General features: G+C 47.4%; 1 pseudogene across 1 annotated transcript; it reads left to right on the top strand.

Annotated features, from left to right (window-relative positions):
* The first annotated feature begins 243 nt into the window (after window positions 1–243).
* On the top strand, window positions 244–8,993 carry GUSBP19 (GUSB pseudogene 19; annotated as a pseudogene). The gene is made up of 4 exons (NR_027503.1): window positions 244–269; window positions 7,100–7,287; window positions 8,263–8,411; window positions 8,656–8,993. The product of NR_027503.1 is annotated as a GUSB pseudogene 19 (transcript).
* Window positions 8,994–15,107: the final 6,114 nt, after the last annotated feature.

The following is a 15,107-nucleotide window of genomic DNA, read 5'->3' as shown; positions in this document are numbered from 1 at the left end:
CTGGGAGCAGTGGGGAACCGTCGGATGCTTGAACTCTCGAGAGCTGGGCTCTGAGCGTCCTCATCCAGCTGCCAACTCGGCCAAAGGCTAAGCCAGCAGACTCTTCTGTTGCCGGGCAACGCGCCTTCTAAACCTGAGGGAGTGGGCACGTGAGCACATAATGGCACCAGTGACAGAGCGACCATAATGGATTAATAAGCACAGCCAGGTACTCGCACAAGGCACTTGCTGGCAATGGCAGGAGGCGGACGTGGGGTGTCGTGCAATAGGTACTGGAGGGAGAGACGCGGGCACAAAGGTCGCGGGAGGAGCAGGTGCCCACAGTGGCTGCAGATCTGCCCGTGGATCACTGAAGATTCCTGCTCTCCTGCTGAGGCGGAGACTGCAGTGAGCTGAGATCGCACCATTGCACTCCAGCCTGGGCAACAAGTGCAAAACTCAGTCTCCAGATAAAAAAAAGAAAAAGAAAAAAAAGAGGCCGGGTGTGGTGGCTTATGCCTATAATCCTAGCACTTTGGGAGGTCGAGGTGGATGGATCACGAGATCAGGAGTTGGAGACCAGCCTGGCCAACATAGTGAAACCCCGTCTCTAGTAAAAATACAAAATTTAGTCAGACATGGTGGGCAGGAGAGAGCATGTGCAGGGGAACTCCCATTGATAAAACCGTCAGATCTCATGAGACTTATTCACTACCATGAGAACAGCATGGGGGAAACTGCCTCCATGATTCAATTATCTCCACCTGGCCCCACCCTTGACACATGGGAATTGTTACAATTCCAGATGAGATTTGGGTGGGGACAGAGCCAAACCATATAATGCTTCCCCGGCCCCTCCCAAATCTCATGTCCTCACATTTCAAAAGCAATCATGCCTTCCCCAAAGTCCCCCAAACTCTTATTTCAGCATTAACTCAAAATTCCATAGTCCAAAGTCTCATCTGAGACAAGGCAAGTCCCTTCCACCTATGAGCCTGTAAAATCAAAAGCAAGTTATTTTCTAGATACACAGGGATACAGGCATTGGGTAAATACACTCGTTTCAAATGGGAGAAATTGGCCAAAGCGAAAGAGCTACAGGCCCCATGCAAGTCCAAAACCCAGCAGGCAAATCTTAAAGCTCCAAAATGACCTCCTTTGACTCCATGTGTCACATCTAGGTGATGCAAGAAGTGGGTTCCCAGGGTCTTGGGCAGCCCCGCCCCTGTGGCTTTGCAGGGTACAGCCCCCCTTCTGGCTGCATTGAGTGTCTGCAGCTTTTCCAGGCACACAGTGCAGGCTGTCAGTGGATCTACCATTCTGGGATCTGGAGGATGGTGGCCCTTTTCTCACATCTCTGCTTGGCAGTACCCCAGTGGGAACTCTGTGTGGGGGCTCCAACCCCATATTTCCCTTTGACACTGCCCTACCAGAGGTTATCCATGAGGGCCCCCCCTCCCCCCCGCAGCAAACTTTTGCCTGGATTTCCAGGCATTTTCATACATCTTCTGAAATCTAGGCGGAGGTTCATGAACCTTAATTCTTAACTTCAGAGCATCTGCAGGCTTAACACCACCTAGAACCTGAAAGGCTTGGAACTTGCACCCTCTGAAGCCATGGCCTAAGGTGTACCTTGGCCCCTTTTACCTATGGCAGGAGCAGCTGGGATGCAGGGCACCAAGTTCCTAGGCTGCACACAGCAGGGGGTTCTGGGCCCACAAAACCATTTTTCCTTCTAAGCCTCCTGGCCTGTGATGGGAGGGTCTGCTGTGAGGGTCTCTAACATGCCCTGGATACGTTTGCCCCATTGTCTTGGTGATTAACATTTGGCTCCTCATTACTTATGCAAATTTCTACAACCCAGTCTCCTCAGAAAATAGATTTTTCTTTTCTGTTGCATCATCAGGCTACAAATTTTCTGAACTTTTATGCTCTGCTTCTTCTCGCATGCTTTGCTGCTTAGAAATTTCTTCTGTCAGATACCTTAAATCATCTCTGTCAAGTTCAAAGTTCCACAGATCTCTAGGGAACTCTAGAAAAAAATTCTTATTTTCACTCTTTCCCGCCTATCTTATGCCTGTTTCTAATACAGGTGCACAATGCCTGCAGTGTCTTTGCATAGTAAGAGTGACTTCACTCCATTTCCCAACAAATTCCTCATCTCCATCTGAGACCACCTCCGCCTGGACCTTATTGTCCATATCACTATGAACATTTTGGTCAAAGTCATTCAACAAGTCTCTAGGAAGTTCCAAACTTTCCCACATTTTCCTATCCTCTTCTGAGCCTTCCAACCTGTTCCAGCCTCTCCCTGTTACCCATTTCCAAAGTTGCTTCCACATTTTCGGGTATCTTTACAGCAGCACCCCACTCTACTGGTATCAACTTATTGTATTAGTCTGTTCTCACACTGCAAATAAAGACATACCTGAGACTGGGTAATTTATAAAGGAAAGAGGTTGAATTGACTCACAGTTCTGCATGGCTGGGGAGGCCTCACAATCATGGTGGAAGGCAAGGAGGTGCAAAAGCATGTCTCACATAGTGGCAGGCAGGAGAGAGCATGTGCAGGGGAACTCCCATTTATAAAACCATCAGATCTCATGAGACTTATTCACTACCACAAGAACAGTATGGGGGGAACCATCCCCATGATTCAGTTATCTGCACCTGGCCCCACCCTTGACACGTGGGAATTACTACAATACTAGGTGAGATTTGGCTGGGGACACATCCAAAGTAAATCAGTAGGTTTTGACTTCTTGATTGATTGCTAGGTTGCATAGAGGACAAACATGGAAATTAATTAAGTACGTTAATATCTGGCTTCAGATCTTAGACAGGATCAGAGGGCCAGCTCAAATTTGCAAGGAGGGGAGGTAGATCCCACCATTTTATGGGTGAATGGCAAAATCAAACAGAAATTATGTGGGATGGGAGATACTGATGCAGGCATCTTTGGAAACATTCTACTTAGCTAATTTTATGCTAGGCTTTAGGTCAAGAAGAAGAGAGAGAGCTGACATGCTGTGGTACACACTTATAGCCCCAGCTACTTGGAAAGCTGAGGCAGGAAGATTGCTTGATCCCAGGAGTTTGAGGTAGTGTGCGATGATCGTTCTTGTGAATAGCCACTAGCCACTGAACTCCAGCTTGGGAAACATTGAGACACCCTGTCTCTTAATTTAAAAAAAAAAAAAAAAAAAAAAATGGAGGGAAGAAAGTGATCAGTTTTTAATGTAAATATTTTTAATGGGATAATGATATTTTAAGATTAATGTATATTGTATATCAGTTAACTATAGGTCAATAATTATATAAAACTTAAGGTACGAAAAACATTTATTTTTGCTAACATATCCGTGAGTTGACTGTTCTTGGCTTGGTGAGGCTGCAAGCTGCAGATAGTCTAGGTATGTTTTCTGTGTGTTTGTTCCCCCTTGGATCAGTGGACTACCTGAGAATGTGTTTTTGTCACAGTGATAGAATCACAAGGAAACTCCAGTTCTGGAAGTACATTTTAAGCCATTGCTTCTATCATGTCCACTAACATTCCGTCAGCCAAATCACGTACCTTGTCCATGGCTCACATTGATAGTATAGATAAATATACCTGATCTCTAGCAGGAGGAACTGCATTGTCTTGGGGAAAGGTTGTAGATATAGGGAGGAGTGATGAGTTGGGAACAATAATGTAGTCTGCCACAAACATATTAAAGTGTAACTGGATATGGTTGATGCAGAATTTTGAACCTTTGTTTTAATTCTGATTTTTACTCTTTTCCCCCATCTAGTGCCCGTTTGTAATATAGTAATTCTCATGATTTTTGTCTGAATTGAAATATTCTATGAGATTAGATTGTCTACGAAAATACAGTCGATCCTCCTTGTTTTCAGCTTTTGTATTTGTGAACTCACCTACTATTTTTTGTAACCCCCAAATCAGTACTCACAGCACTTTCATAGTCATGTGTTTGCATAGAGTGTCAAAGAATTTGAGTTTGAACAGGGTGATATTCTGCCTTCTTTTTCAGCTCTCATACAATAGTCAGGTATCCTTTTTGTGGTCTATTTAATGCCATGCTTTTCCTATTTTTGTACTGTTTGTTGGTTGTTTTGCCATTTAAATTAACCCCCAAGCATAGTGCTGAAGTGCTGCTTAGCATTCACAAGTCCAAGAAGTCTGTGATGTGCCTTACAGAGAAAATACATGCATTAAATCAACTCCATTCAGGCGTGAGTGCTGTAGTGCCATTGGCTGTGAGTTCAGTGTTAATGAATGAACAATGTATATTATTTATTTATTCATTCATTTAATTAATTATTATTATTATTATTTTTGAGATATAGTCTCACTCTGTTGCTCAGGCTGGAGTGCAGTGGTGCAGTCTTGGCTCACTGCAACCTCTGCCTCCTGGGTTCAAGCGATTCCCCTGCCTTAGCCTCCCAAGTAGCTAAGACTACAGGCATGCGCCACCATGCCTGGCTAATTTATTTATTTATTTATTTATTTTTTGTAGTTTTAGTAGAGACGGGGTTTCACCACGTTGGCCAGGCTGGTCTCGAACTCCAGACCTCAAATGATCTGCCCGCCTTGGCTTCCCAAAGTGCTGGGATTACAGGCGTTAGCCACTGTGCCTGGCCAACAATATATATTAAATAAGCACACATACAACAAAAGTAGGTGTTGGTAAGCTTACAAAAATATGACCAGTAGCTTGCTGAAACCTAACTTTTTATTTGTTCATGGAACTTTCTAGACCGTAACTACACTGAATAATGAGAATCTGCTGTAATCTTTTTAGGTGCTGTAGATGAGCCATTGGATTAAATTATTACAGTATGTTTCAGACTGCTCTATGTTGAACCCTAGTGAAATGCCTCTCAAACCCTCATAAGGATCACAATCTCATGTCCTTTTTTTTGTTATTAAATGCCCAGTATGTGTTAGCGATTTAAACAAAATTCAAATATAATTTTTTTTTTGAGACAGAGTCTCGCTCTGTCACCTAAGCTGGAGAGTGCAGTGGCATGATCTTGGCTCACTACAACCTCTGCCTCCCGGGTTCAAGCGATTCTCCTGCCTCAGCATCCTGAGTAGCTGGGATTACAGGTGCCCGCCACCACGCTGGGCTAAATTTTGTATTTTTAGTAGAGACGGGGTTTCGCCAGGTTGTCCAGGCTGGTCTGGAACTCCTGACCTCATGTGACCTGCCTGCCTTGGCCTCCTAAAGTGCTGGGATTATAGGCGTGAGCCACATGCCCGGTGTTGACTTTTTAATAATAACCATTCTGACTGGTGTGAGATGGTATGCCATTGTGGTTTTGATTTGCATTTCTCTAATGATCAGTGATATTGAGCTTTTTTTCATATGCTGGTTGGCCGCATGTGTGTCTTCTTTTGAAGTGTCTGTTTATGTCCTTTGCCCACTTTCTAATGAGATTTTTTTTTTCTTGTAAATTTGTTTAAGTTCCTTATCAGTGTTGGACATTAGATCTTTATCACGTGCATTGTTGCAAAAATTTTCTCGCATTCTGTGGGTTGTCTGTTCACTCTGTTGATAGTTTCTTTTGCTGTGCAGAAGCTTCAAGAAGAAAGGAATCCGATTGGTTCTGTGTCTGTCTCTTTTGGTATTTTCAGACTTATGTAGTCATCCATACAGAAAGATGATTAGGAAAATAGGACAAGAATAGCAGAAATCTACATAAAAATGTAGGAAATTAAAATTAGTTACCAGCACACAAAAAACTACTATATGTTATAATTACATACTATAACTCACCCCTCCTTGCCAAATATTCTCTCTCTTTTGACTTCAAAATCATGGCTTATATGTACTTTCTGTATTTCCCAGATGCAAATATAATTAATTGACATTATTTATCTAGGAAATGTTACTGATATCTTAATTGTAGTCATTGGCTTGAGTGACGGGTTTTGGTAATTCAACTACTATTACTTGAAAGTAGTAGATTTCATAGGATACTGTTATAAAATCTTTTCACGCCTGTAATCCCAGCACTTTGGGAGGCCGAGGCGGGCGGATCACGAGGTCAGGAGATCGAGACCATCCCGGCTAAAACGGTGAAACCCTGTCTCTACTAAAAATACAAAAAATTAGCCGGGCGTAGTGGCGGGCGCCTGTAGTCCCAGCTACTTGGGAGGCTGAGGCAGGAGAATGGCGTGAACCCGGGAGGCGGAGCTTGCAGTGAGCCGAGATCCCGCCACTGCACTCCAGCCTGGGCGAATGAGCGAGACTCCGTCTCAAAAAAAAAAAAAAAAAAAATGTTTTTAACCTCTTTTCTGATTTCAGGAGTAATTAGTAATTGTGGTTTACTGGAAAATTCAATGAATAGGGTGTTAAAGGAAGCAATTCATTAATAATATATCTAATCTATTGGGAGACTGAGGCGGTTGGAACTCAGGTTGGGAGACCTGAGTTCAGGAGTTCGAGACCAGCCTGGCCAACATGGCAAAACTCCGTCTCTACTAAAAATACAAAAATTCGCCGGGCATGGTGGTGCCTTCCTGTATTCCCAGGTACTCGGAAGGCTGAGGCAGGAGAATCACCTGAACTCCAGAGGTGGAGGTTGCAGTGAGTCAGGATCGCAGCACTACACTCCAGCCTGGGTGACAGAGTGAGACTCCATCTCAAAAAAAAAAAAAAAAAATTAAATTAAAAAAAAGCGGGCCGGGCGCATTGGTTCAGGGCCGGGCACGGTGGCTCAAGCCTGTAATCCCAGCACTTTGGGAGGCTGAGGCAGGCGGATCACGAGGTCAGGAGATCAAGACCATCCTGGCTAATGTGGTGAAACCCCGTCTCTACTAAAAATACAAAAATTAGCTGGATGTGGTGGCAGGTGCCTGTAATCCCAGCTATTCCAGAGGCTGAGGCAGGAGAATCACTTGAACCTGGGAGGCAGAGGTTTCAGTGAGTCCAGATCATGCCACTGCACTCCAGCCTGGGCGACAGAGCGAGATTCTATCTCAAAAAAAAAAAAAAAAAAAAAGCAACAGAAGCAAATGAGAGTGCCTGGAAGTGGTCATTGTGGGGCATTCCCGTTTGTGTGACCCAGGTCATGTCCCTCCCTAAGCCCTGGTCTCTCTTGCCTCCTGCAGGGCTGGTGAATTACCAGATCTCCGTCAAGTGCAGTAACCAGTTCAAGTTGGAAGTGTGTCTTTTGAATGCAGAAAACAAGGTCGTGGACAACCAGGCTGGGACCCAGGGCCAGCTGAAGGTGCTGGGTGCCAACCTCTGGTGGCCGTACCTGATGCACGAACACCCCGCCTACCTGTACTCGTGGGAGGTAATGGTGGTTTGGGACTTGCTTAAGGGAGGTCTTTTGCCCCCATCTGGTAGCCCTGGCTTCAGCAGGATCCCAGGACAGGTGAACGGGCAGGTGTGGTCCTCTGAGCTTTCTGGTGTTTCCCACCCTTGGTGGGAGGCCCAGATTTTTTATTTATTTATTTACTTTTATTTATTTATTTATTTATTTATTTATGTATGTATTTATTTTTTGTGATGGTCTCACTCTGTCACCCAGGCTGGAATGCAATGGCCTGATCACAGCTCACTGCAGCTTTGAGCTGCAATCCTCCTACCTTGGCCTCCTGAGTAGCTGGGACTACAGGCACATGCCACCATGCCTGGCTAATTAAAAAAATTTTTTTTGTAGGCTGGGCATGGTGGCTCACGCCTGTAATCCCAGCACTTCGGGAGGCCGATGCGGGCGGATCACTTTAGGCCAGGAGTTGGAGACCAGCCTGGCCAACATGGTGAAACCCCGTCTCTACTAAAATAGGAAAATTTGCAGGGCATGATGGTGCACGTCTGTAATCCCAGCTACTCGGGAGGCTGAGGCAGGGTAATTGCTTGAACCCAGGAGGCAGGGGCTGTGGTGAATTGAGATCATGCCACTGCACTCTATCCTGGGTGACAGAGTGAGACTGTCTCCAAAAACAATCCTTTTTATAGAGTTGGGGTCTTACTCTGTTGCCCAGGCTGGTCTTGAACTCCTGAACTCAAGTGATCCTCCTGCCTTAGCCTCCCAAAGTGTAGGGATTCCAGGCATGAGCCATCTCGTCTGGTCAAGGAGAAGGCCCGATTTTGAAGGGCAGGTCCCAGGGTCAGCCAGTGAAGGGCAGAGCCTCTGATTGCTGCTTCTCTGCAGGCCCAGAGGTGACTGCTGGGGTGCATGCACGAGGGGTCTTCCTGCTGTAGGGCAGGCCAGATGGGGCTCAGGCTGTCGGGGCGCTCACAGCTGGCACTTTGGCTGTCGTAGGTGTGGCTGACTGCACAGAAGTCACTGGGGCCTTTGACTTCTACACACTCCCTGTGGGGCTCCGCACTGTGGCCGTCACCGAGAGCCAGTTCCTCATCAGCGGGAAACCTTTCTATTTCCACGGCGTCAACAAGCATGAGGATGCGGACGTGCGTTGGGGCTCCTGGGTCGTCGTGGGGGCTGCTTCTGGTCACCTTCCACTTTAGCCTTCCCTGTGTCCTGCAGTTGAGGGCAGCTCAAGGCAATGAGGCAAATGGCTCCAAACCACCCCATGGTGGAGCCGGTGCTTGGGCTGGAGAGGGGGCCTCATGGGGTGGTTCTCCAGGGTCCTGGCTCTCAGAGGAAGTGCCGCTTCGACAGGGACAGGGGTCACTCGGCTCTGCTGTCCCCTAGATCCAAGGGAAGGGCTTCGACTGTCCGCTGCTGGTGAAGGACTTCAACCTGCTTTGCTGGCTTGGCGCCAACACCTTCTGCCCCAGCCACTATCCCTACACGGAGGAGATGCTGCAGATATGTTACCGGTATGGGATTGTGGTCATCGATGAGTGTCCTGCTGTGGGCCTGATGCTGCCATGAGTCCCTGCTGCGCACCCGCTCTGCCTGGCCAGCCCTCGGGCCACACCGTGACCCTCTGTCCCTTCCCTTCTGGCCCGCTGGCAACTCTTCAACAACGTGTCTATGCATCACCATATGTGGGTGGTGGAGGAACCGGTGCTAAGAGACAAGAACCACCCGCCATCATGATGTGGTCTGTGGCCAACGAGCCTGCGTCCTTCCTGGAATCTGCTGGCTACTCCTTCAAGTCAGTGCCCACTGCCTGCCCTGGGCTGGATCAGGCAGGAGACCCTGGCAGATGGCAGACTGTGGTGGACGTGTGCTATTGGAGATCAGCATCCTGTCCCAGCCCAATGGGAGGGCCGTCCATACCCAGACGGTTCAGGGAACTAAATATCTACCCACCCAAATTGTAGTTTTCTTTTTCTATTTTTTTGAGATGGAGTTTCGCTCTGTCACTCAGGCTGGAGTGCAGTGGCACGATCTCGGCTCATTACAACCTCAGCCTCCTGGGTTCAAGTGATTCTTCTGCCTCAGCCTCCTGAGTAGCTGGGATTACAGGCACAAATGAGCCACTGCGCTTGGCCTGTTTTTTTTTTTGAAACAGGGTCTCACTCTGGTTGCCCACGCTGGAGTACAGTGGCACGATCTCAGTTCACTGCAGCCTCGACTTCCCAGGCTCAGGTCATCTTTCTTCCTCAGCCTCCCAAGTATCTGGGATTATAGATGTGTGCCACCATGCCCAGCTAACTTTTGTTTTTTGATTTTTTTTTTTTTTTTTTTTTTTTTTTTTTGACGAAGTCTTGCTCTGTTGCCCACACTGGAGTGCAGTGGTGGGATCTCGGCTCACTGCAACCTTCACTTCCCAGGTTCAAGCGATTCTCCTGCCTCAGCCTCCTAAGTAGATGGGACTACAGGTGTGTGCCACCATGCCTGGCTAATTTTTGTATTTCTAGTAGAGACAGGGTTTCACCATGTTGGCCAGGATGGTCTCCATCTCTTGACCTTCTGAGCCACCCACCTCGATCTCCCAAAGTTCTGGGATTACAGGCGTGAGCCACCGTGCCCAGCCAACTTTTGCATTTTTTGTAGAGACAGGGTTTCACCATGTTGGCCAGGCTGGTCTTAGACTCCTGACCTCAGGTGATCCGCCTGTCTCGGCTTCCCAGAATGCTGAGATGATAGGCGTGAGCCACTCTGCCCGGCTTATTTTTGTATTTTTAGTAGAGACGGGGTTTTACCATGTTGGCCAGGCTGGCCTTGACTCCTGGCCTCCGGTGATCTGCCTGCCTCATCCTCCCAAAGTGCTGGGATTACAGTTGTGAGCCACCAGTCCTGCCCAACTTTTCTTCCTTACAATTGTGCAGTTCTAACTCGGCATTCAGAGGTGGAGTTTTCATTTGCGGTAGAGGCAGCAGAGGTTGTAGAAATGCTCCTTGAGGCAGATGCCACACCCCAATTTCATGGAGTGCTTTGGGCTGAGCCGAGTCTGCAGCAGGCAGAAGGCTCTGAGATGTTGTCCCAGCCTGGGCAAAGGACAATTCAGAGCTCGGGGGAATAGGGGTGTGCTCAGCACGACTGGGTGGACAGGCCCTTTGTTGTGAATAGTACAGGCTTCCAGGAACGGGTGCCTGAGGCTTCCAGACAGGCTTCTTTGGGAGGTGGCCAGAGGAGATGCCTGTTTCCGGGGCAGGAAATGGAGGGAGCGCCCAGGCTGGAGAGGTTCAGCCAGGCTGTCACAAGGCTCTGAAGCTTCCCATCTGAGGGCCTGGCTGTTGGAGAGTATGGGTTTGGAACTTGAGGCTAGGAGGTTCTGTTCTGTCCTGTGCCAGCCACAGCCTTCGGATGGGCAGAGCAATGATGGGGGGAAGATGTAAAAGAAAAGAACTGAGGAAAGAAGAAGAAAACCAGATTCAACAACAGTCTAGGCCGGATGCAGTGGCTCACGCCTGTAATCCCAGCAGTTTGGGAGGCTGAGGTGGGTGGATCACCTGAGGTTAGGAGTTTGAGACCAGCCTGGTCAACAGGTAGTGAATCCGTCTCTACTAAAAATACAAAAATTAGCTGGGCATGGTGGTGGACGTCTGTAATCCCAGCTACTAGATAGGCTGAGGCAGGAGAATTGCCTCAGGTGAACCGGGAGGCAGAGATTGCAGTGAGCTGAGATAATGCCACTGCATTCCAGCCTGGGCTACAGAATGAGACTCTGTATCTCAAAAAAACAACAACAAAAAACAAAACAAAACAGTCTGTTCTGTGGAGGCCTTGGGCAGATGCTGGGAGCTCTGAGCACGGACTGGTCCCTCTGTTGGGAGCCTCTTCCCTTCATCCTGCCTGGTTAACTTGACTCAGCTTAAAGGCCATTTCTTCTAAGAGCCTGTCCCTGACTCTCCAATCCGGGATGTGTCTGTTGTCTCATAGAGTGCCCAATTCCTACCACCACTTGTCATTTCCATTTGCAACATTTCTTTCATTGTTTGTTTTTCAGAGTCAGGGTCTCACTCTGTTGCCCAGGCTGGAGGGCAGTGGTGCAATCACAGCTCGTTGCCATCTCGACCTCCTGGGCTTAAGCGATCCTCCCCACTCAGCCTCCCAAATAGCTGGGACCACAGACGTGCGCTGCCTTTCCAGGGTAAATTTTAATATTTTTTTCCCCACGAGTCAGAGTCTTGCTCTGTTGCCCAGGCTGGAGAGCAGTGTTGCGATCTTGGCTCACTGCATCCTCTACCTCCTGGGTTCAAACAGTTCTCCTGCCTCACCCTCCCGAGTAGCTGGGATTACAGGCTCATGCCACCATGCCCAGATAGTTTTCTTCTTTATTTTTTGTTGAGATGGGGTTTCACCACGGCCAGGCTGGTCTCGAACTCTTGACGTCGTGATCCACCTGCCTCGGCCTCGCAAAGTGCTCACAGGCTTGAGCCACCATGCCCAGCCCTAATTTTTAAATTTGTTGTAGAAACTAGGTCTTGCTATGTTGCCCAGGCTGGTCTCAAGCGCCTGGTCTCAAGCCTCCCAAAGTGGTGGGGTTCTAGGCGTGAGCCACCTCGCCTGGCACTTGCACTGTTTTCCTGTGCATGCATCTCTACTCCCACTGCCCAGGACCTGTGGACTTAGATTTGAGTCATTACTGAGCACCTAGCACCCAGCCCCGTGCCTACTTCCCACCTCGCACTACCTGTTTGCTTGATGCATTGATAAATATTCCACCTGAATCCACAGCCCATTCACTCCTGTGTTCAAGAGCTATTTCAGGAAGTGAACCTCATTTTCGGCAGTGTTCAGTCCAGTGACCTCAGCTGTGTGTACCTGGCAGGGTGGCTACGCCTCTGGGGGAATTGGATTCAGAGGTGGGGGAGAAAGAGTGTTGTTAGAGAGCTCGGTCTAGGACTAGAGGAACGTGCCCTTATGTAAAACACATCTCAAGTTAGGGAAGAAAGCAGCGGCTCTGTGCTTTGTGTTTTTTTTTTCTTTTCTTTCTTTCTTTTTTGTTTGTTTGTTTGTTTGTTTGTTTTGAGGCAGGGTCTTGCTCTGTGGCCCAGGCTGGAGTGCAGTAGCCTGATTTCGGCTCACTGCAACCTTCACCTCCCGGGTTCAAGCAATTCTTGTGCCTCAGCCTCCCGAGTAGCTGGAGTTACAGATGCGTGCCACTATGCCTGGCTAATTTTTGTATATTTAGTAGAAATGGGGTTTTGCCATGTTGGCCAGGCTGTTCTTGAACTCCTGACCTCAGTGATCTACCTGCCTCAGCCTCCTGAAGTGCTGGGATTACAGATGTGAGCCATCGTGCCTGGCCCCCAGTTGTGTTCTGACAGGGGAAGATGGGACAGAGAGGATGGGAGGGTGTCTGAGCCTTTCCCAGACTGACGGAACCTGTGTCTTCTCTCTTTTGTGGACAGGATGGTGATTGCTCACACCAAAGCCTTGGACCCCTCCCAGCCTGTGACCTTTGTGACCAACTCCACCTACGCAGCAGACAAGGGGGTGAGCCTGGGGGTCCCCACCCCATTTCTCCCTGCCTTTGCCTGGGCTTGTCCTGAAGCCTGCTCATGGGAACAGCTGGAAAGAGCCATGTGCTGCCAGTCTGAGCTTTTTATTTTGTTTTACTTAGAAAGATAGAGACAGGGTCTTGCCATGTTGCCCAGGCTGGTCTCGAACTCCTGGGCTCAAGTGATCCTCCTGCCTCGGCCTTCCAGAGGGCTGGGGTTACAGGCATGTGCCACCGCACTCAGCCGCAGCCAGTCTGTTTTCAAAGATGGTCTTTGGGTTAATTACAATTCTCTCTCTGCTTACTCTCCAGGCAGTGTGGCTTTCTGAATCCAAGGAGGCTGGGCATAGGGAGATGGGATTTGTTTTGCTCAGTTTGGACTCAGCATTTTTTGTACTCGATTTAATAGACTCATAAAATGTCAAAGGTTTAAGTGAGCTTAGAGTTCGTCTGGCCCAAACCTGGCTGATCAGAATCTCCAGGGGAAGTTTTTTTTGAAATGCCAGATCTCTGCATTCTGATATCCTGATTTAGTAACTCCAGGGTTGGAACCTGAGTTTTTTTTTTTTTTTTTTTTTTTTTTTGTGAAGGCAGGGTCTTACTCTGTTGCTCTGGCTGGAGTGCAGTGGTGTGATCACAGCTCACTGCAGCCTTGAATTCCTGGGCCTAAGCAACCCTCTTGCCTCAGTCTTCCAAGTAGCTGGGACTCCAGGTGTACACCACCGTGCCCAGCTAATTTTAAATGTTTTTGTAGAGATTGGATCTCACTATGTTGCCCAGGCCAGTCTCAAACTCTTGAGCTCAAGTGATCCTCCTGCCTTAGCCTCCTAAAGTGCTGGGATTACAGGCATGAGCCACTGTGCCTGGCTGATACTAGCATTCTTTTTTTTTTTTTTTTTTAAAGATAGAGTCTTGCTCTGTTGCCCAGGCTGGAGTGCAGTGGCACAGTCTCAGCTCACTGCAACCTCCGCCTCCCAGGTTCAAGCAATTCCCAGGTTCAAGCAATTGGGGGCATAGGTGGTGACATCCCACTTTTGTTTGACTCTTGCTCAGAACCTTTTGGCCCAGCTCAAATCTACCATCTACCTCTTAATTCTGACCCTTCCCATGGGCTGCCACATCCTATTAGAAATATCCTATCCCACCTGGCGCGGTGGCTCACGCCTGTAATCCCAGCACTTTGGGAGGCTGAGGCAGGTGGATCTCCTGAGGTCAGGAGTTCGAGACCAGCCTGACCAACATGGAGAAAGCCTGTCTGTACTAAAAATACAAAATTAGCTGGACATGGTGGCGCATGCCTGTAATCCCAGCTACTTGGGAGGCTGAGGCGGGAGAATTGCTTGAACCTGGTAAGTGGAGGTTGCGGTGAGCTGGGATCACGCCATTGCACTCCAGCCCGGGCAACAAGAGAGAAACTCTGTCAAAAAAAAAGAAAAAAAAGAAAAAAACAAAAGACAGAAAGAAAGGGAAAAAAGAAATATCACATCCTGTTTCTCTCCTAAATTGGGAAAACTTACAAGGAACTACAGTAAAGATCTATGAGAATAGTGCAAAAAGGGGAAAACCAAAGAGTTCCTAAAAATTCCTATTCTCTTAAAAGTAGCAAACCAAATTGCTGTTACCCTCTACATGGTCCATTTCCCACATGGTTTTGGAAGTACAAATTGGGTAAACACCAATTTTTAGCTATTACTATTTCTGCTATTTTAAAAATAATCTTGGAAGGGTAGTTTTTTGAAAGGAGAGAGAGGCATGACATGGCAGGAAATTAGAAAGATTTTAGTTTAAAGCAAAATTTGTGACTGTTGATTAAAGTGATAGAAAATATGGAATATCATGCTGCCTCAGGTTATATGAGGGAGGGATAGGAGGATTATTTTTTGGCATTCCTGCCAATAATTCATGGAGTTAACTGACCAGTCACCTATTATATCCATAATTATGATGAGCTGCTGTGAAAATGTCACAGGGTGAACCACAGCTTGCTTTGATGTTGTCTCCATGCCCATAAAAATTGTCTCTGTCACTTCCAATCTTTCTAAACAGGTTCCTGCAATGTCTTTAGGGTTGGTATAATGTTAGCTTCAAAATACATATTATATTTAAAGATGCATTCAGCACATTTTCCTCTACAGGAGTAAGCTTAAAACAAATTATTGTGTATCATAATACAGCTTTGGCGTTTACAGTAATTCTCAGGCAAAGCTCAGGGTATAAGTATGTACTTTGTAAAGTAATAGGACTTAAATTCATTAAGTAAATCTATTGCTACCCTTGGTGCTTCTTTCTTATCTTCATTGAAGTT

The sequence above is a fragment of the Homo sapiens genome, chromosome 5 (genome assembly GCF_000001405.40).
Source record: "Homo sapiens chromosome 5, GRCh38.p14 Primary Assembly".
In the NCBI taxonomy this organism is placed as follows: domain Eukaryota; kingdom Metazoa; phylum Chordata; class Mammalia; order Primates; family Hominidae; genus Homo; species Homo sapiens.
Note: the sequence above shows the minus strand (reverse complement) of the source record. Positions and strands in the feature narration are given on the sequence as shown.